Genomic DNA, 21983 nt, shown 5'->3' on the forward strand with positions numbered 1-21983 from the left:
TATATTTTTGTACCTATTAACCAAAACTCAAGCAGAGTCCTATAAATTTTTGTCCTATCCCAATCGATTTTTGAGTACTTTCTCATTTTTGCCATAGCAAGGTATTTCATGCTAATCTTTTATCATCCATGCTCTACCCCCTTGGAAGAGCAATTTCTTCAAGAAGCTTTATTTCCTTTAAGAAGAGAATAATATTTAGAAATCTAGATCTGCTATTTGTATTTTCTTTGCTACTGGGATGTCAATTTCTCTAGACCATCTCAGCAGACATGTAATTACATGTTTTTAAATGTTTTATTGACACATACTCTTTGTTCATATTTATGGGGCACGGGTGATATTTTGATACATGTAGAGAATGTGTAATCATCAAGTCAGGGTATTTAGGCTATTCATCACCTCCAGCATTTATCATAGTTTTGTGTTGTGAATATTTCAAATCCTCTCTTCTAGATTATTTTGAAATGTACAATATATTGTTGTTAACTTCAGTCACCCTACTGTGCTATTGAACATTAGAACTTATTCCTCCTATCTAATTATATATTTGTGCTCATTAGCCTGCCTCACTTCATCCCCCAAGCTTCCCCCCAACACACCCTTCCCAGATTCTGGTATCTATTGTTCTACTATCTACCTCTAAGAGATCAAATTGTTTAGCTCCCACACGTTAGAACATGTGATATTTGTCTTTCTGTGTCCTGTTTATTTCACTTAATACTATTTAAATATATGTATTAAACACCATAGATTACATATTAAAATTATCCAATAGTATGAAGATTCATTCCAGAAGTTTACTTTTTCCATATTTTTAATTTCTTTGTCCAACAATGAGAAACGTATCCCCCATTAGCTATAATATTTTTATTTAATATTATAATACAAATGAAATACATGATTCAGATTCTCTAACCCATACTACTATGAGAAATTAATCTGCTATCTAGACTTAAACGTAAGTTTACAGTTCTTTGATCGTTAACCTAAAGCACGAGTAATTTTCAAGCTACTGTATTACATTTGCTGATTTCTGTTGGTTAAGGCAAGGCAAATCCAATGTAAACGGGAAGGAAATTTCACAAGTGCATGGATACAGAGAAGTGTGATGCATTGAGTGGAGGTATTGCTGCAACAATCTAGCACAATGTGTTGCTGTACCCAGTGATTAACAACTCCTCATGGGGAATATATAGTCACCCCTTCCTAAGATACCTAAAGTTTTACTTAATCATGGCATCAGTCTCACCATACGTGATTTTGTGAGTACGTCAAGTCTGGATGTAGGTGAGGCACTTCTGAGGTAGCTACTTGATATGGTTTGGCTCTGTGTCCCTGCCCAAATCTCACATTGAATTGTAATCCCCACCTGTCAGGGCAGGGACCTGTGGGAGGTGACAGGATCATGGGGGTGGTTTCCCCTATGCTGTTCTCGTGATAGTGAGTGAATTCTCATGAAGTGTGTGGCAGTTTTTCCCCTCTCATTCTCTCTCTCTCCTGCTCCTTCTCGGTAAGACATGCCTTGTTTCCCTTTTGCCTTCTGCCATGGTTGTAAGTAAGTTTCCTGAGGCCTCTTCAGCCATGCGGAACTGTGAGTCAATTAAACCTCTTTTCTTTATAAATTATCCAGTCTCAGGTGGTTCTTTATAGCAGTATGAAAATGAACTAATACACTATTTATTCAATGACCCATGAAGTAAAAAGTCAAGTTATCCAGCCCACATATGCCCAAACAATGATCTCACTCTGTGGTAAGAAGGATTTTAAGATGGCCCGTAAGATTCCCACATCCTGGTATACATGCCCTAAATAATCCCCTCTCATTTCATGTAAATTGGACCTATGACTATGATGAACTATATCTCTTATGAATAAGTTATTCATCAATTAACTTTTAGTTAACTGAAAGGAATGTTACCCTGAGTGGATCTGGTCTAAACAGGTGAGACATTTAAATGACAGGGATGCATTGAAGAGACGCACTCCTGCTGGCATAGAAGGAAGCAAACTATATTTGTAAAGAAGACTATGTGGCAGGAAATTATAACTCACCTCTTGGAGTGAGGCCTTTCATTTTATGATATGAGAAACTGAATTCTGCCAACAAACAGTGATTGTGGAAGGGACAGCTGAGCCTCAGAAGAAACCCAAGCCCCAGCCAACACTTGAGTTTAGCCTGGTGAGACTGAGCAGAGGCCTCAGCTAGGTGGACACCCAGACTCCTAACCCATGGACAGTGTGAGAAAATAAATTGTTTTGTGTTAGGGCGATGGGTCTGTGGTAATTAGCCCAGCTTTCTCTGTCATTTTTTATTCTACCTTTGGGCCTTCCTTCATTTTTTATGACGCGGTTCATATTTTCAGGAAAGCAACCCTCTGAGTCTACAGTATGCATTTCAAAAGTGGGGCCAGAGGCCTCATTTAATTTGAATTTCCTCCGTCCCTTAGAGTCCAAGCTGGAAGGAGTTTTAGTATGACATTTATTTAAATAACTTTGTTTTTTCAGTGAATTTGGGGAGGATTCATTCTATGCTCCAAAAGTCACATCCATAATTCATTTTATGACAAACTTCTCTCCTTTAAGAGTGTCAGTTTAATGTGTGACAATATTCATATGATTTTTTAGGAGCCAGTTTGTTAAGCTGGGAAGATCTATCAGGCATAGCCTTAAATGGTTTTGAGGTTTGAAGAAAAGGCCTTACTCTGACATCCTTGCTTTAACCTTTAGCTTGAGACTACTTATAAGTTCCAGAGATATGCTGTAAAACATATTGCCTATAGTTAATATATGGTATTGTGCACTTAATTTGTTAAGAGGGTATGCATATCTCATGCTAAATGTTCTGACCACAAAACATACACAAAGAACATTTCGAGGTGATAGTGGTATTTTTTTTTTTACCTTGGTTACGGTGATGGCATGAGTGAGTTTATGCATATGTCCAAACTCATCAATTTCTATACATTAAATATATGCAGATATTTGTGTATCAGTCATACTCAAATAAAGACGTTTTGAAAATCATTGCCAGGTTGAGAGACTGAGGATGAAAAGCTTTATTTTCCAAACCAACAAGTCATTGCATAGCTAAAAGAAGCCACATGTTACTTTGCATTTCTGCCAGAACATGTCTTTAGTCAGATACACCAGTCATTAGGTACAGTTAATGTCATCCAAGGTCCTACTGCAGGAATTATGTTGGCCAATTGTTCTGCCTTTACACACATGGGTTCTCACCATCCCAGCCTCCAACAGTGGTTTCCCCACAGCTCTGACAGACACAGTAACAGTTTGTTGCAATTCCACAGCCTCAGACTTTGGGTCTCCTCCCTGCTTTTCTTCGCTAATATCAGTCTCCTAGCTTTTCTTCCAGCCTCCATCTGCCAGCTGACCTCAAAGCAAAGTTGCATGTTCTAACTTTTTGTTATGACAGACAGCACACCAAGGTACTATTTCTATTTCAGATGTGCATTTGTAATTACACACATACACATAACATACACATACCAAAATTTAGTAGCGGAAAACAAGGACAACATTATTGTCTCGTGATTCTATGAGTCAGCAATTTGAGCTGGACTCAATTGGATGTTTCTACTGTTGCGCTCTACAAGAGGCTCTCACATAGCTGCAGTCATGTGGTGGCTTATTTGAAGCTCGATGGCCTGAGGTGGCCACACTTCCATAGTAGGTGGTTAATGTTAGATGTTATCTGAGTAAAATGTCTACAGCTTATTAGCCTGGACTTCTTCACCTGTTGGAAATGTTTTTAGGGCATAAGTAAGTCCCAATGCAAAAAGAGTTTTTTAATATCTATTTTTGTATTACATTTGATTTTGTTCTATTGGACAAAGCTAGTCACATGGTCAAACTCAGGTTCAATGGGGAGGTGACTAGGCAGGACATACATCGATAGATACAGAAAGGGTCATTGGGGCCACTACTCTGACAGCTTTCAGAGTCTGGGAATAAATAGGAATACCCTTTAATGGTAAGATGATGAGTTGAAAATGCTATGGCTCCTAGTGACACCATATAAAATTTCTGGTACCATGCCTGGATTTGTTATTTGTGTCTTTCAATGCAAACTGGACCATCTGATTACCCTCAAGGAGGTCACCTTTGTTACAAATTATTTTTTTCTAGACCACCACCAAATCTGATCTAATTTTTATCCTGATTTCCTATGGGTTTGCATTACTGAGGTCCAGCAATTATATCATTTGATTCCGTGTGAATTTCTAGAGGTACTCTCATTCTTTTGTAGAACACTTTATTCCAAGGATGTCCTGATGTAACTTTCTTCTGTTCCCTCAGGTGCAGAGTGCTTTTTCCACCAAAGAAGAGACATTGTACTCTTTTTGGGGTTATATTAATGACTGTGAGTATCTTCCCCAAAATAATTTATATTCTCTTTAGAAAGAAAGATTTCTGAGCAACTTCATATGATAATAAACCTAATTTAACTTTAAGAATCATATTTTCGAATAAGTAGGCTTGAAAGTATCCTTTCCTATTTCTGCCATGATTTCCTAATAAAAATTCTGAGCTACTGACCTACTTATAAGAATTAACTTGTAACATAAATCAGTCCAATCAATTCATGTCCTCAGTGTATCTCAAACTAAGTCAGAATAAAGGAGCCACTTTTGTCTTTAGTAATGTAGATATTAGAAAATAATCCTTGAAATTCCACTAGTCATATCATCTTCTCCACACTGAGTGATGATGAGAGTTTGAGCACACAGAAAAATAATGAAGATAATATAGAGGAAAGAAAATTCTAATGACTTTGGAGTCATTTGTTCTGTTCAATTCCAGGGGTTACTATTTATTTTTTTCTAGATACATTTTCTAATAATTACACTTTTATATATTTGGAAATGTATTTTTCTCTGTTACTTGCAAAGAACATTGTTCTTGATTAATATAAAAGCCCAATAAAATCATTAATTCCAGGGATAAAGAACTCCACTAGAGAGATTATAGCAAGAAAAGTTTAATTATAATTATATATTACCTAAAACTAATGACATTTTTATGGTATATAAAAGGTTTATGTTTTCACATTGTATGTTCATTCTCATTTCATACCCTTTTTGCAGAATTCACCTCTCTGTCCTCCTCAATGCCATCTGTCTTTTGTTTGGTCTCCCTGATGTTAGTCACGAAGTCTGCTTAGAAGGATTTATGTCTTACTTTGATATAGGTTCTATACTCAATGCTAGGGAACAATCATTGGCAAGATGTGTCTCCTTTACTCAAAGAGGTTTTAATGGTCTATGTTTGGAAAAGAGACATACAGTCATTAGAATGCAATATTGTGAAAGTTGACAAGGGAAATTCTTGGGGTTATGGGAATCTTCAATATCTTTATTGAGAAATACAGATATACACATTTATCAAAACTCATAAAATGATGAATTTGTAGTATTTTATTGTGTATAAATTATGCCTCAATAAAAGTTCATTGTAATGTGCTGAAAGAATAAATGATAAAGAAGCATATGTTTGCTGATGACAGTTTTGCACCAATTCCTTTTTATTTTTACTTTTCCTCCCTTTAGGTTTCTTACTATGGCCTTCAATAAATTGTAACTCCAGGCTTAAATTTGATCAAATATTCTTCTAGTGGGTCATGAGGCTATTGAGTGTCACAACAAAAGATTTCCATTTAATTTTGTAATATGCCTGATAATAAGGAAAAAATATATTAAAAATGAAAACTAGGAAAAGATGTAAAGTCAGTGAGTAATTTTGGGAGATAATACAGGAAATAATTGATAAATAGTAAATTGAGACTGAGGAAATAAGAGTCAGAAAAACTATACAGGTTAAACTTCATTCTATAAGTGTTTAAACTTTAGCTTAGGCAGTCTGCATTTTTGTTTTTCATCTATTTTACAGATAATCCTTTGAAAATTTATCATGATCTTTCCTTTAATAAAATAAGTAGAACTCAGAATAAAATAAAGTAACCCCAAGTTAAAACTACAGCAATTTAACCACCATCTGGAAAAGTGACCCTGTCTATGACCTCCACAGTTACACTTTACTATGCTCCATGCTCTTTGATGTGGAGCTAGAACCTCACACCAAGAAGTGATTTATATGCAGAAAAAATGATATCCACACATCTCTAGGGAACCATATTCATTTATTAATTCACTGTGCATGTTTCTTTAATAAGAAGTTCAATAAAATAAGTGTACAATACTTACATATTTATTTTCCAAATAATTTTTAGATGCAGATTTCAACTTTCCAATTTGTAGCAAGATTTAAGTGCCAGAGCTTAGATTTTTAGTTATTAAAGTATTGTTGACATCTTCAACACTATCTTTTAAAAGTACCTTATATTTTATTATAATATTTCTCTAGCATGGTTTTTGAACTTATATTCATTTACATATTATTATTACCTCAAAAAAGCCATATGCAGGGCTTGCTGCAACTTTAAAAATGTTATATATGTGGAAATATATATTTTTTAAATGGCTGCATTGAATTGGCAAACCCAAGCTTTCCTGTTCTCATTTGCCAATGCCAGCCTTTGCTTTAAGCAACCAAATGTCTAAGGCTGTCAAAATTAGAACAATGACAAGGCAAATGAATCTGGATTTTCAGTTCACCCTAGACAGCAACAGCAACTGCTTTTGGAAACATTTTATAGATTTAGGTGTGTAAGAATAGATCTTGAAAGATGCTTTTCTTCTTCATAAGAAATAATCCTGAAGTTGAAACTTGTCCCCAAAGACCTGATGCTTTCAATATTTCCTCTTCTATATACTTAAAATAAATTTGAATAAAACAATATTATTTGTAAATTATTATGAAATAATCACCATACAGCTTCCATTTCCTTGTTTCTAATTTCTACTTGGAAAATTTTTGAACTTATTTGAGAAGCGTCTCATATTTTAATTGAACTCACAAAATGCAGATATTAAGTGATTTATCAAATCAGATTTGCTTATGCAATTACTGTTAGAATTTTTCAAAGTAATTTACTTAAAATATCTTAAGAAAAATGCAAAGTAATATAATATAATAAAAACAGACCAGAATTCCTCTCTCAAATTATTATTATATGGGAAAAAATAGATTTTATTTTTTTTTAATTACACTTTAAGTAAGTTTTAGGGTACATGGGCACAACGTGCAGGTCTGTTACATATGTATACATGTGCCATGTTGGTGTGCTGCAACCATTAACTCGTCATTTAACATTAGGTATACCTACTAATGCTATCCCTCTCCTAGCCCCCTACCCCACAATAGGCCCCAGTGTGTGATGTTCCCCTTCCTGTGGCCATGTGTTCTCATTGTTCAATTCCCACCTATGAGTGAGAACATGTGGTGTTTGGTTTTTTTGTCCTTGTGATAGTTTGCTGAGAATGATGGTTTCCAGCTTCATCCATGTCCCTACAAAGGACATGAACTCATCATTTTCTATGGCTGAGTAGTATTCCATGGTGTATATGTGCCACATTTTCTTAATCCAGTCTATCATTGTTGGACATTTGGGTTGGTTCCAAGTCTTTGCTATTGTGAATAGTGCCGCAATAAACAGACGTGTGCATGTGTCTTTATAGCAGCATGATTTATAATTCTTTGGGTATATACCCAGTAATGGGATGGCTGGGTCAAATGGTATTTCTAGTTCTAGGTCCCTGAGGAATCGCCACACTGACTTCCACAATGGTTGAACTAATTTACATTCCCACCAACAGTGTAAAAGTGTTCCTATTTCTCCACATCCTCTCCAGCACCTGTTGTTGTTTCCTGACTTTGTAATGATTGCCATTCTAACTGGTGTGAGATGGTATCTCACTGTGGTTTTGATTTGCATTTCTCTGATGGCCAGTGATGATGAGCATTTTTTCATATGTCTTTTGGCTGCATAAATGTCTTATTTTGGGAAGTGTCTGTTCATATCCTTCACCTACTTTTTGATGGAGTTGTTTGTTTTTTTCTTGTAAATTTGTTTGAGTTCATTGTAGATTCTGGATATTAGTCCTTTGTCAGATGAGTAGGTTGCAAAAATTTTCTCCCATTCTGTAGGTTGCCTGTTCACTCTGATGGTAGTTTCTTTTGCAGTGCAGAAACTCTTTAGTTTAATTAGATCCCATTTGTCAATTTTGGCTTTTGTTGCCATTGCTTTTGGTGTTTCAGACATGAAGTCCTTGTCCATGCCTATGTCCTGAATGGTATTGCCTAGGTTTTCTTCTAGGGTTTTTATGGTTTTAGGTCTAACATTTAAGTCTTTAATCTGTCTTGAATTAATTTTTGTATAAGATGTAAGGAAGGGATCCAGTTTCAGCTTTCTACATATGGCTAGCCAGTTTTCCCAGCACCATTTATTAAATAGGGAATCCTTTCCCCATTGCTTGCTTTTCTCAGGTTTGTCAAAGATCAGATAGTTGTAGATATGTGGCATTATTTCTGAGGGCTCTGTTCTGTTCCATTGGTCTATATCTCTGTTTTGGTACCAGTACCATACTCTTTTGGTTACTGTAGCCTTGTAGTAGAGTTTGAAGTCAGGTAGCATGATGCCTCCAGCTTTGTTCTTTTGGCTTAGGATTGACTTGGCAATGCGGGCTCTTTTTTGGTTCCATATGAACTTCAAGGTAGTTTTTTCCAATTCTGTGAAGAAAGTCACTGGTAGCTTGATGGGAATGGCATTGAATCTATAAATTACCTTGGGCAGTATGGCCATTTTCATGATATTGATTCTTCCTACCCATGAGCATGGAATATTCTTCCATTTGTTTGTATCCTCTTTTATTTCATTGAGCAGTGGTCTGTAGTTCTCCTTGAAGAGGTCCTTCGCATCACTTGTAAGTTGGATTCTTAGGTATTTTATTCTCTTTGAAGCAATTGTAAATGGGAGTTGACTCATGATTTGGCTCTCTGTTTGTCTGTTATTGGTGTATAAGAATGCTTGTGATTTTTGCATGTTGATTTTGTATCCTGAGACTTTGCTGAAGTTGCTTATCAGCTTAAGGAGATTTGGGGCTGAAACGATGGGGTTTTCTAGATATACAATCATGTCATCTGCAAACAGGGACAAATTGACTTCCTCTTTTCCCAGTTGAATAACCTTTATGTCTTTCTCCTGCCTGATTGCCCTGGCCAGAACTTCCAACACTATGTTGAATAGGAAAGAGTAAATGCTTCAGTTTACTTTATATCTAAAGTCTGTCCTCTGCAAGATTTTCAAAATCATTGCAACGGGGAGAATCAAAAGCAAATTGTGAAACAAAATAATTTCATGTGACTTTATAGACCAACCATTTTTCAAGTGATTGGCTGAAATTTTTTGTAATATGTTTAAATCAACACTATTACAGAGTTAAGGGAAGGCTTATGGTGTTTTTATTTTACTTTAAAAGGGCAAATAATGTTTTTGGAATACTCTTTCATAATTTTTTACAAGTATTTATTTGCAAATGTATTGATTGCATACAATTCTAAGTTGTATATATATTCTTCTATGATAGATAGTGCTATATTATTTTGAAATAATATAACCAACAAATTTTGGTTGCTATCACTCAATTTGCTATTTTCTGGTGTTTGCAGTACCTGTCACTGTGTAACAAGCCACTCTAAAATTGAATGGTCTAAACCATTTTATTATTCTTATGGTATCTCTGAGTTACAGATTCAGAAATGGGACAGTGAAGACAGATCTTGTCACCTTCATAATATTTGGGGCCTCAGCTGTAATCGCTGGTTAAAATACTTGCAGCTGGGCAATTCCATTCCATGTGGCTTGTTTTACTTACTTACATGTTTGGCTCCTACTGGGATGGCTGAGGACAGGCGGTGTTGACTGGGGTATTCCAGCAAATAATGTGGATGCTGAAGAGTGTATATGACAAAGTTTCATTATTCAGCTTCTACAGTTTTGCTGGAATACTTTCTCTGGGAATACTTCCTGTTAGAGCCCTGAGACTGCCATACTGGGAGGCCACATACACTCCAGTCAATAGTCCCTGCTGTACCCATTCTACAACCATCCCAGCTGATGATCCAAAGCACCATAGTGGATGCATCTTCAAAATAAAATGAAATCATCTATAACTGATAATGATATCTGAACAATTTGTAATGTGTATAATTATTGAAAAGATACTTCAAAAACTCAAGTCCTATTTGCTGTTAATTATTGTCAACTATGTTAAAGCCATTAAAACACTGCCTATAATTCAATAATTGTGATTGTTATTCCTTCTGATAAAGCAGATTATTACTAAAATTGTGAAACTATCGGGGGAAATTCAGCCAGATATCGGGCGAAATTCACCCCTGATATTTCATGTAGGTTCTTTTCTATATTCTCTAAGTGTCAGCCAGTCTGAGAAATAAAGGGACAGAGTACAAAAGAGAGAAATTTTAAAGCTGGGCGTCCAGGGGAGACATCACCTGTCGGCAGGTTCCGTGATGCCCCCTGAGTGGTAAAACCGCAAGTTTTTATTAGTGATTTTCAAAAGGGGAGGCAGTGTATGCATAGGGTGTGGGTCACAGAGATCACATGCTTCACAAGGTAATAAGATATCACAAGGCAAATGGAGGCAGGGCGAGATCACGGGACCACAGGACAGGGGTGAAATTAAAATTGCTAATGGAGTTTCGGGCCTGCATTGTCATTGATAACAACTTGTCAGGAGACAGACAGGGTTTGAGAGCAGACAAGTGGTCTGACCAAAATTTATTAGGTGGGAATTTCCTCATCCTAATAAGCCTGGGAGCGCTATGGGAAACTGGGGCTTATTTCATCCCTATAGCTCGACCATAAAAGATGGCCGCCCACCGAAGCAGCCATTTCAGAGGCCTACCCTCAGGGATGCATTCTCTTTCTCAGGGATGTTCCTTGCTGAGAAAAATAATTCAGAGATATTTCTCCCATTTGCTTTTGAAAGAAGAGAAATATGGCTCTGTTCCGCCCAGCTCACCAGCGGTCAGAGTTTAAGGTTATCTCTCTCGTTCCCTGAACATTGCTGTTATCCTGTTCTTTTTTCAAGGTGCCCAGATTTCATACTGTTCAAACACACATGCTCTATAATTTGTGCAGTTAATCATCACAGGGTCCTGAGGCGACATACATCCTCCTCAGTTTACAAGATGACAGGATTAAGAGATTAAAGTAAAGATAGGCATAGGAAATCACAAGGGTATTGATTGGGGAAGTGATAAGTGTCCATAAAATCTTCACAATTTATGTTCAGAGATTGCAGTAAAGACAGGCATAAGAAATTATAAAAGTATTAATTTGGGGAACTAATAAATGTCCATGAAATCGTCACAATTTATGTTCTTCTGCCACAGCTTCAGCCGGTCCCTCCATTCGGGGTCCCTGACTTCCCACAACAGAAACTACTAATTTTTTAAATTTTATATTTTGTCCAAAAAATAACAATCTCTTCGTATTTTATGCTGTCTACCTTAATTATTTGTGTGGCTTAGACATTGCACTATTTTAGTATTGTTATTCTTTCTTCTTTCCAAATAGATACTATTCTGTTTCCTCTTTATCTTTCTTTTTAATTGTTGCCAGACAAAAAAGTTTTCTGTGGAATTTCCTTTTGAAGAAAATATCTGTTCTCTCATCTTCTCTTAAAAGGTATTTTTTTTTAGTTTATTTCATTCTACAAATAAATATCATTTTCATTTAAATACAAAATTTCCTTTTTGACAGGTAACAGTTGAATATTTTAAATAAGAAAGATATATGTATGGTATGGCTTGTCTGATGCTAAACTCAGGGATGAGGAGGTGCAACACATGTCACATTTCTGCAAAACCTGATGATGGCAAACAGAAGAAAGGTAGATGGTGTCCAAGATTCTCTTTTAGGAAGTGTTCAGATATGGCATCTCGTAAGTGTAGACAGGTTTTATTTGATATGTTAATTGATAATTTATAGAAATAATGCTTATAAGCTCATTCTAAAAGTGAAAATCACATGAAATAGTCCCCAAAAAGCCACAAAATGAAATGACCCCATTAGTTAGAAGATAAACAAAGGATTCTTCAGAAAATGAGTGATTTTAATAAATTCCTAGAAAAAAGAGATTGAGAGGACAATAATGAATGAAACAAAGCCATTCATAGCCTGAAATATGCTAATGAGAGGGCAGCAATGAGGGAAAAAACAAAAACAGAAACAAAAATTAATCTACACAATAAATCTTGAGTCTTCCTTTTTGAAATTTGGAGGTAAAATAAGAGTCAGTAGAGGGAAGTGGGCCTTAAAATAGGTCAGTTGACTAAAGATATGTACATGGAAAGCTAAGTCAGTATGATCCTTTTTCTCATTAAACTTTAATATCTGTCTTTAGCAGTTCTCGCATATTTTTGACATTTTCCCTATTAAAGTAAAAATCTCTTATTTCTTAACTTTCTGGTATGGAACTGTGCTATATCTTCTTGGCATATAATCATTCTTCTCTGTGTGTGTGTTTGTTTGTGTGCATATGTGTGTGTGTCTCTCACACACACACATGCACACAAACACATACAGTCCCCATTATTCCCAATTATAGGAATACTGACTGTTCATGGCTCATAAGCCTCAGAGGCAGGGAACTGCCTCAACCAAGTTTATGTCCTTTGGATTGGGCAGTGCATAGCTCATAATTAGCTGATATGGAGGTACAAAGGCATGACCTCCTTCTTTCAATTCAGGACAACTCTGCCCACCCTGAATGTTCCCCAGGTTTGGATGTGCTTCATTGGAATCCTTAGTACTTTTCATTCCCTCTTTGTTCAGTCCTCATCTCCTGGAAAACATATCATCACTCAAGAGCACTTCACAATAGTCCCTTTAAAAACAGGATATTCTTATTCTTTTTTATTTTTTTTCACCTAAGGTGATTCTTGGAATGTTGCCTCAGAGCCAGTGGGGTCTCCAAAGATCCTTTCAGAGGATTTGCAAGGTCAAAATATTTTCACAGCAATAGTAATCTCTTATATGCTCCTTTCACTCTTAACTTTCCAATTTATACTCCCATGTGGAGTTTTACAGAAGATACCTGAATTTATGCTTGTATGCACTTGTGTTTTCTGAAACGTTTAAGTTAGTAGATTTGTGATTTTTCAAAGATTAAACTCAGTTATCAGTATTTCAACTATGATCTATCTATCATCTATCTATGTAATCAGTTATCTATCCAATTATACCTGTTGCAATCCCTGTAAAATCATTATTATCCAATAAATTATTATTTTGTAATTCTAAAAATTTTCTTATTGTCTTGTTTCATCATAGTATTTTTTATACTTTTTTAAAAATGTCAAAAATCTTGTCTAAAATTTATCACTTTAGTAATGATTTATTCAACAATAAAATTCATTTTATTTTGGATGAATTAGGATGAATTATTAGCTTAATAAAATATTAGAAAAAGTACTTTCTCAACATATAGCTGTATCACTTACATCTAAAAATGCTAGAAAAAAGATGAACTGATATAACACAGAATTCTCTGATGTATGGAAGGGAAATGCTGAAAAACTTCTAATAAATAGAAACAAAATTATTAACAAGATGGCTTTTCTTGTCATTGTAAATATTAATAATCTCCATGATTGTTTCTTATACAGCAGAATGCATTCAAATAATATATGGTGCTAAGTTTCAATGTCACATCAAATCCAATCATTTCAGTACTTAAAAATTTAAAAAAGAAAAATGATAAATGTAGATGTGATACGCTCTTAAATAACCAACAATTTTGATGGGAATTGCATTAAATTTGTAGATTGCTTTTGGCAATATGGTCATTTTCACAATATTGATGCTACCCATCTATGAGCATGGAATGTTTATCCATTTGTTTGTGTCATCTATGATTTCCTTCAGCAATGTTTTGTAGTTTTCCTTGTAGAGGTCTTTCACCTCCTTGGTTAGGTATATTCCTAAGTAGTTTCTTCTTCTTATATATATATTTCGCAGCTATTGTAAAGGGGTTGAGTTCTTGATTTGATTATCAGCTTGGTCACTATTTGTGTATAGAAGAGCTACTGATTGGTGTACATTAATTTTGTATCCAGAAACTTTGCTGAATTCCTTTATCAGTTCTAGGAGCTTTCTGGAGGAGTCTTTAGTGTTTTCTAGGTAAACGATCATATCATCAGCAAACAGTGACAGTTTGACTTCCTCTTTACCTACTTGGATGTCCTCTCTTTCTTTTGTCTGATTGCTCTGGCTAGGACTTCCAGTACTATGTTGAAGAGGAGTGGTGAGAGTGGGCATCCTTGTCTTGTTCCAGTTCTCAGAGGGAATGCTTTCAACTCTTCCCCATTCACTATTATATTGGCTGTGGGTTTGTCATAGGTGGCTTTTATTAAATTGAAGTATGTCTCTTGTATGCCTATTTTGCTGAGAGTTTTAATCATAAAGGGATGTTAGATTTTGTCAAATGCTTTTTCTTTCCCATCAGCATACCACCATCATTCTTCACAGAATTAGAAAAAAACACTTCTAAAATTCATACGGAATCAACCCTCATAGTCAAAGCAAGACTAAGCCAAAAGAACAAATCTGAAAGCATCACATTACCTGATTTCAAACTATACTATAAGGCCACAGCAACCCAAACAGCATGGTAGTAGCATAAAAATAGTCACAAAGACCAATGGAACAGAATAGATAACCCAGAAATAAACCCAAATACTTACAGCTGACTGATCTTTGACAACGTAAACAAAAATATAAAGTGGGTAAATGAAACCCATTTCAACATATGATGCTGGGATAATTGGCTAGCCACATGTAGGAGAATGAAACTCAATCCTTATCTCTCTCACCTTATAAAAATATCAACTCAAGATGGATTAAAGACTTAAACCTAAGACCTGAAGCTATAAATATTCTAAAGGTAATATTGGAAAAAACCCTTCTAGACATTGGCTTAGGTAAGGATTTCATGACAAAAACCCAAAAGCAAATGTAATAAAAACAAAGATAAATTGCTGGGACTTAAATACACGTAAGAGCTTTTGCACAGCAAAAGGAACAGTAAGTGGAGTAAACAGACAACCCAAAGAGTGGGAAAAATCTTTACAATCTATACACCTGATAAAGGACTAATATCCAGAATCTACAATGAACTCAAACATATCAACAAGAAAAAAACAAACAATCCCATCAAAGAGTAAGCTAAGGACATCAATGGACAATTCTCAAAAGAAGATATGAGGCTGGGCGCAGTGGCTCACGCCTGTAATCCCAGCACTTTGGGAGGCCAAGGCAGGCAGATCATGAGGTCAAGAGATCAAGACCAGTCTGGCCACCATGGTAAAACCCTGTCTCTACTAAAAATGAAAAAATATTAGCTGGGCATGGTGGCACACATCTGTAGTCCCAGCTACTCAGGAGGCTAAGGCAGAAGAATCGCTTGAACCAGAAGGTGGAGGTTGCAGTGAACCGAGATCACACCACTGCACTCCAGCCTGGCGACAGAGCAGGACTCCATCTCAGAACAACAACAACAATAGCAACAACAACAACAAAAAAGATATGCAAATGGCCAACAAACATAGGAAAAAATGCTCAACATCACTAATGATGAGGGAAATGCAAATCAAAACCACAGTGAGATACGACCTTACTCCTGCAAGAATTAAATAATAATTAAATTTTTTATTAAATAATAATTATTTAATAATTAAATAAAATAAATAATTACTAAATTAAATAATAAAAATATTAGATGTTGGCATGGAACAGGGAACACTTCTACACTGCTGGTGGGAATGCAAACTCATACAAACACTATGGAAAACAGTGTGGAGATTTCTTAAACAACTAAAAGTAGAACTACTATTTGATCCAGCAATCCCACTACTGGGTGTCTACTCAGAGGAAAAAAAAGTTGTTGTTATACAAAAAAGATACTTGCACACGCATGTTTATAGCAGCACAATTCACAATTGCAAAAATGTGGAACCAACCCTAATGCCCATCAATCAATGAGTAGATGAAGACACTGTGAGATATATATATATAGTGTATATGTATACACTATATATGTATATATACACATATACATATACATAGTGTATATGTGTGTGTGTATACACAGACACACACACACACACACACACACACAATGGAATACTACTCAGCCATAAAAATAAATGAATTAATGGCATTCATAGCCACCTGGATGAGATTGGAGAATATTATCCTAAGTGAAGTAACTCAGGAATGGAAAACCAAACATCATATGTTTTCAGTCATAAGTGGGAGCTAATCTGTGAGGATGCAAAGGCATAAGAATGACACAATGGACTTTGGGAACTTGAGGGAAAAGAGTGGGAAGGGAGTGAGCGATAAAAGACTACAAATAGGGATCAGTGTATACTACTCAGGGGATGGGTGCACCACGCTCTCACAAATCACCACTAAAGGACTTACTCATTTAACCAAACACCACCTGCTCCCCAATAACTTATGGAAATAAAAAATTAAAATACATTTAAAAACCCCAACAATTGTTTGTTACATATTTTCAACTACAAATTAAGGAGCCAGAAAAGCAGCTCAGAGAGTAAGTTGTCATTGGCTAGAGAAGCAACAAAATAGTTGAGAAACTATAATTTATTCCTTAGTTGACACAACTGAAACGTTGCTGAATGAAAGAATCAGTAAAGCAAATCATAGCACTGCCACCACTTTTCAGTATTACAGTAGCTTGTCAATTTAAAGATTTAGCTGCAAACAGCAAGTTAATATTTGATCTATGGATAGATTTACAAATATGGCTGGACTTGCTGTTTTGCTTGCTTCTTTCCATTCAGTGTTGGTCCCAAATTATCACTGAAGAAAATATATATGTGTATTGATGTGTGTGGGGTGTGGGATGCTGAGCAACAAGAACTAAAGACTGCTGACATAATCAAATGTTAAGTAGTTTTTTAATCTCCTGATTTATCCTAGCACCACTCTGTTAACATTTGCTCTGATGGTGATAAAGCAATAGTGGTTAAACTGTAGATTCCTTTACACAAAACAAGACAGTGACACTGAACTGTATTAGGAGTCATTGTATTCCTTACTGCCACACATTGGCTGATTAAAAAGAAAAAAAAATCTAGTTTCACTTACAAATGTCCCAAAAGAAAGTGAACATTACTACATTTTATTAAATTTAGACACTTGTTAGCATATGCCTATTTTTAATATGCCTACTGAGATTTAATTGCCATAGCGTAAACTGCACATATTTAGAGCAGGCAGTTTAATAATTTTTGACATATATAAACCATCATAAAACCATTACTACAATAAAGACAGTGAGCAAATCTATCAGCCCCAAAACTGTCCCCATGCTCTTGAGTAATCACTCTCACCTTTCCAAGCCACCTGTCCCTTTCCCAGTCCCCTGGCAACCAATGTTTTCTTCATTATAGTTTGCATTTTCTACAATTTCATGTAAATGTAATTTTATAGTATATGCTTTTAGCTTTTCTTACATGCAGAGTTATTTTTATATTCATGTTGTTGTGTGTGTCAACATTTCATTCAATTTTATTGCTGAGTATTCTGCTGTTGTATAATTATTTTACATTTTGTATATCCAGACACCTGTAATGGGGCATTTGATCATTTAATTTTTTTCTTTTACAAATAAAGCTGTTATGAAAGTTTATAACACAATTTGATCGGCTATGTGCTTTTAATTTTTCCTGGGTAATACCTAGGAGTAGAATGGCTGGATCACATAGAAGGTGTATGGTTAACACTTTAGGAAACTGCCAAACTGTTTTTCCAGGGAATTGTATAGTTTTACATTCCCATTAACAATGTATAAGAGTTCCAATGCCTCTGCATCTTCACCAACACTTGAAAGTTCTTTAAAAATTAGACATTCAAGTAGGTGTTTAGGGGTTTCTCATATTGTACTTTTAATCTGCACATTGCTAATGAAGAATGTTGATGTTGAGTATCTTTCCATGTGCTCATTTGCCATCTGTATATCTTCACCAGTGAAGTAAATGCCCAAATCACTGACTATTTTTTATACGGTGATTTTGTTTCTTATTGAAGTTTGAGAGCTCTTAATATATTTTATATATAAATCTTTCATCAGATGGGTGACTTGAAATCATTTTCTATCAGTGTCTGGACTTTTTATCTTATTTATGATGTATTTTGAAAAACAGAATTTTTAAAATTTTGATGAAGACAAGTTTATCATTTCTTTAAGAAACTGCCACTTGATGGCAAAGAACATGAACAGACACTTTTCAAAAGAAGAGATACGCACAGCCAACAAGCATATAAGAAGTGCTCAACGGCACTAATCATTAGAGAAATGCAAATCCAAACCACAATGAGATACCATCTTGTATCAGTCAGGGTGGATATTATTAAAAAGTTAAAAAGTGACAGATGCTGATGAGGCTGTGGAGAAAAGGGAATGCTTATACACTGCTGGTGGGAATGTAAATCGTTTCAGCCATTGTGAAAAGCTGTGTGATGATTTCTCTAAGAACCTAAAACACAAGTATCACCTAAGTCAGCAATCCCATTATTGGGTATATACTTTAAGGAATATAAATTGTTCTTCCATAAAGACACATAAACATGCATGTTTACTGCACCACTATTCACAATAGCAAAGACATGGAATCAACCTTAATGCCCATCAACAGTAGACTAGACTACAAAAAAAAAATGTGGTGCATATACACTATAGAATACTACATAGCCATAAAAAAGAACAACATCATGTCCTTTGCAGCAACATGGATGGGGCTGAGGGCCACAATCCTATGCGAATTAACGGAGAAACAGAAAACCAAATACCACTTATAGAGGAGGCCATTATCCTGGGCAAACTAACAAAGGAACCAAAAATCAAATATCACACATTCTCACTTATAAGTCCGAGCTAAACATTAAATACAAACATGGATGCAAAACGGAACGGAATGACTGACAGATGTTGAGGCCTAACTGAGGGTGGAAGGTGGGAGAGGGGAGAGGATTGAAAAACTACCTGTTGGGTACTATACTTATTATCTGGGTGACAAAATAATCTGTACACCAAACCCTCATGACATGTAATCTACCTATATAAAAAACCTGCACATGTACCCCTGAACTTAAAATAAAAGAAGTTAAAAAAAAAAAACCTGCCACTTGATATACTTTGGTATATCGCATCAAAAAACAATATCTAAAATTATATAAAAAGACTATTAAAATACTATGAGTTTCTTTATATACTTCAAACACAGCAAAATGATAAATGTGGAAGCAGATACAAAAAGTCAGCTGTCTTCTATTAAGCTGGATGTTAAAGATACTTCCAAAAATGTAACTTAATGCCAATCTTCTCACTATTTCTTTGGAAAATACAGTTTTTTAAATGAAATATATCTTATATTAATACATAGCAGGCTTATTATTGTTTTAGATAAATTAAGACATACATATTTTTTAAATTTTCTCAGTTCAAATTACCAATGTGGTAAATATATATATATATATATATATATATATATATTTCATATAAACAATATTTCTTAGTCTCAATAATTTTCAAATGTGTAAAGGATATTAAAATCAATAAGTTCAAGAAACACTAACTTAAGACAAAAACAACATGGGATAGAGTTATCATTGTTTCCCTTCTACTCATAAGGAAATTATCAGATAAGTGAAGGAATTTGTCTAGTGTCTTTCATCTAGAATGAGCTAGAGCTTGGATTTTAACCAAGACTTTGATTTAGAAAATAGTTTTAGCATGTACTAAAAAATTAAATATATAAAGAGAAAGAAAAATAGATTTAAAAAGTAATGGTATATTAAAATCTGATAGGGAGAAGGGGAATAATAATATCAAATTATTAGACTATTTTTTGAGTGAAAGGCGCTTTCAGCAAAGATCTATACTTTTTCATCCCAGCCTATTCTTCAGTAATTTCTGGAAGATTTTATTTTTATTGTTTTGGTTCTAATATTGATTTTGGAATTATTTTTCACTTTATTATATGTTATTTCTAGGTTTCTCTGTCAAAGTTTCATTGAGAGAAGTTAACACAGGATAATTTGCTTGAAGCTACTGATGGCTTCAGGAAATTTAAAGGGCCTTTTTCTTTACTGATGTTCTGTTATTTATTTTCTTCCATCAATTTCTCTTTCCTTTAAGCATTATTCTTTCATCTGGCACATTAAGTGCTCTTAGTTTTCTGAGGGCTTGCTATAGCAATTATCTGGAAAACTTCAAATTCCTTCTCTAAGCTTCACTTTTCAACGTTATTTCTTTTCCTGATGACTTTAAATCTTGTTCTATTGTCTCAATATCCTTTCTTAGCTTGGGTATTAATAACTTGTCATTAATAATTTGTTACGGAAAACTGATAAAATGATTTCTGCCTCCTTCTAATACATGTATTTTGATACAAATTTTAGGTAATTTACATTTCTGAAATGAATGTGATTTTTGGATATCATTATAATTACCATAAATCTTGCCATTTACTAGTAGATTCTAGCATTCATTATGCTTATTTTTTGGTAAAATTTTTATTAAATTTAAAATCTATCTTTTTAAAAATGTGTGATGAATTCTTAATGAATGCCAGACAGTGATCAAACATTGAAGAGACAATAGTAAAAGCAGCAGACTTTGATAGAGCTTACATTCAAATAATCATAGACAAAAACAATTAAATTAATTTAAAAAATTAAATAAATACTATTATTGTAGCTAGTCATAATTATAATATCATCAGAAAAGTAAAACAGAAAAAGTCATGTGGCTAAATGACAGTAAGCTATTCTTTTGTAGACAGGGCAAAAAAGGTCTTTCTGGGAAATTTTAAGTGAAAAGTAAACAGGGTGAAGGAGCCAGTTGAAGGGGAGAAAATCATCCTAATCAGAGATCACAGTGCACAGGTCTATTTGCAAAACTAACTTGGATGCTCAAAGGCAAAAGGAAACTAATCTTGCCAGATTACAATTGCTAGAGTCAGGGGATAAATTCAATAGACATATAACAGCTAGATCATATAGAGGCTGACCAAAATAAGAAATGTGGACTGTACTCTAAGTGCAACAGGAAGCCATGAGAGAGTTTAGAGAAAAAGTGACATGATTTAATTTGAAGCTATAAGGATTGCTCAAGCTTCTTTGTGGATAATAGACTGTAAAAAGGGAAGGGGAAAATCAGGAAGATCATTTAGGAGTGTAAACCAAAAGTATCTGAGATAGGTCTTGATCAATTTAGAAAGTTTATTTTGCCATGGTTGAGGACATGCCCATGACACAGCCTCAGGAGGTCCTAATGACACGTGCCCAAGTTTGATGGGGCACAGCTTGGTATTATACAGTTTAAGGAGACTTGAGACATCAATCAATACATGTAAAATGTACATTGATTCGGTCTGGAAAGGTGGCACAACTCAAAGAAGGGGCTTCCAGGCCATAGGTAGATTCGAAGATTTTCTGATTGGCAATTGATTGAGTTATTATGAATAAAAAGGAATGTCTGGATTATGATAAGGGATTGTGCAGACCAAGTTTTTATCACGCAGATGAAACCTCCAGGTAGCAGGCTCCAGAGAAAATCGATTACATTTACAATTGTAAATGTTTCTTATCAGATTTAAAGAGTCTGTTGTAATTCCAAAAGTGAGGAGGGTATAATGACGCATGTCTGGCTCCCCCTTCCCATCATGGCCTGAACCAGTTTTTCAGGTTAACTTTGGAATGCCCTTGTTGAGAGGAGTCTTCAGATGGTGAGAGGGCCTAGGATTTTATTTTTGGTTTGCAGAGGGATAAGTTCACTCCAGAGAAGATCTGCTGTTAGCTTGAATTAGGTTAGAAATAAAGAGAGCATAGTAGTGGAAATCAGGATATATTTTGCTCAAAGAAGCTTGTTGAGAATTGATTCAGACTGACAACATAGGGTTTTGGCCCTATGTATCTAGAGGAATGGTAATGCCATTAAATGGGATGG

General features: G+C 35.0%; 2 long non-coding RNA genes across 5 annotated transcripts in view; one reads left to right on the forward strand and one right to left on the reverse strand.

Annotated features, from left to right (window-relative positions):
- The window catches only part of LOC124904475 (uncharacterized), a 765263-nt gene that overhangs the window by 738921 nt on the left and 4359 nt on the right, over window positions 1–21983 (forward strand). The window contains exon 8 of the long non-coding RNA XR_007066777.1: window positions 4318–4381. This is a non-coding gene — a long non-coding RNA (uncharacterized LOC124904475). The remainder of the gene's footprint in view (window positions 1–4317; window positions 4382–21983) is intronic.
- The window catches only part of LOC107985242 (uncharacterized), a 199987-nt gene that overhangs the window by 35352 nt on the left and 142652 nt on the right, over window positions 1–21983 (reverse strand). The gene's annotated exons all lie outside the window — the stretch shown is intronic.

The sequence above is a fragment of the Homo sapiens genome, chromosome 1 (assembly GCF_000001405.40).
Source record: "Homo sapiens chromosome 1, GRCh38.p14 Primary Assembly".
Classification (NCBI taxonomy): Eukaryota; Metazoa; Chordata; class Mammalia; order Primates; family Hominidae; genus Homo; species Homo sapiens.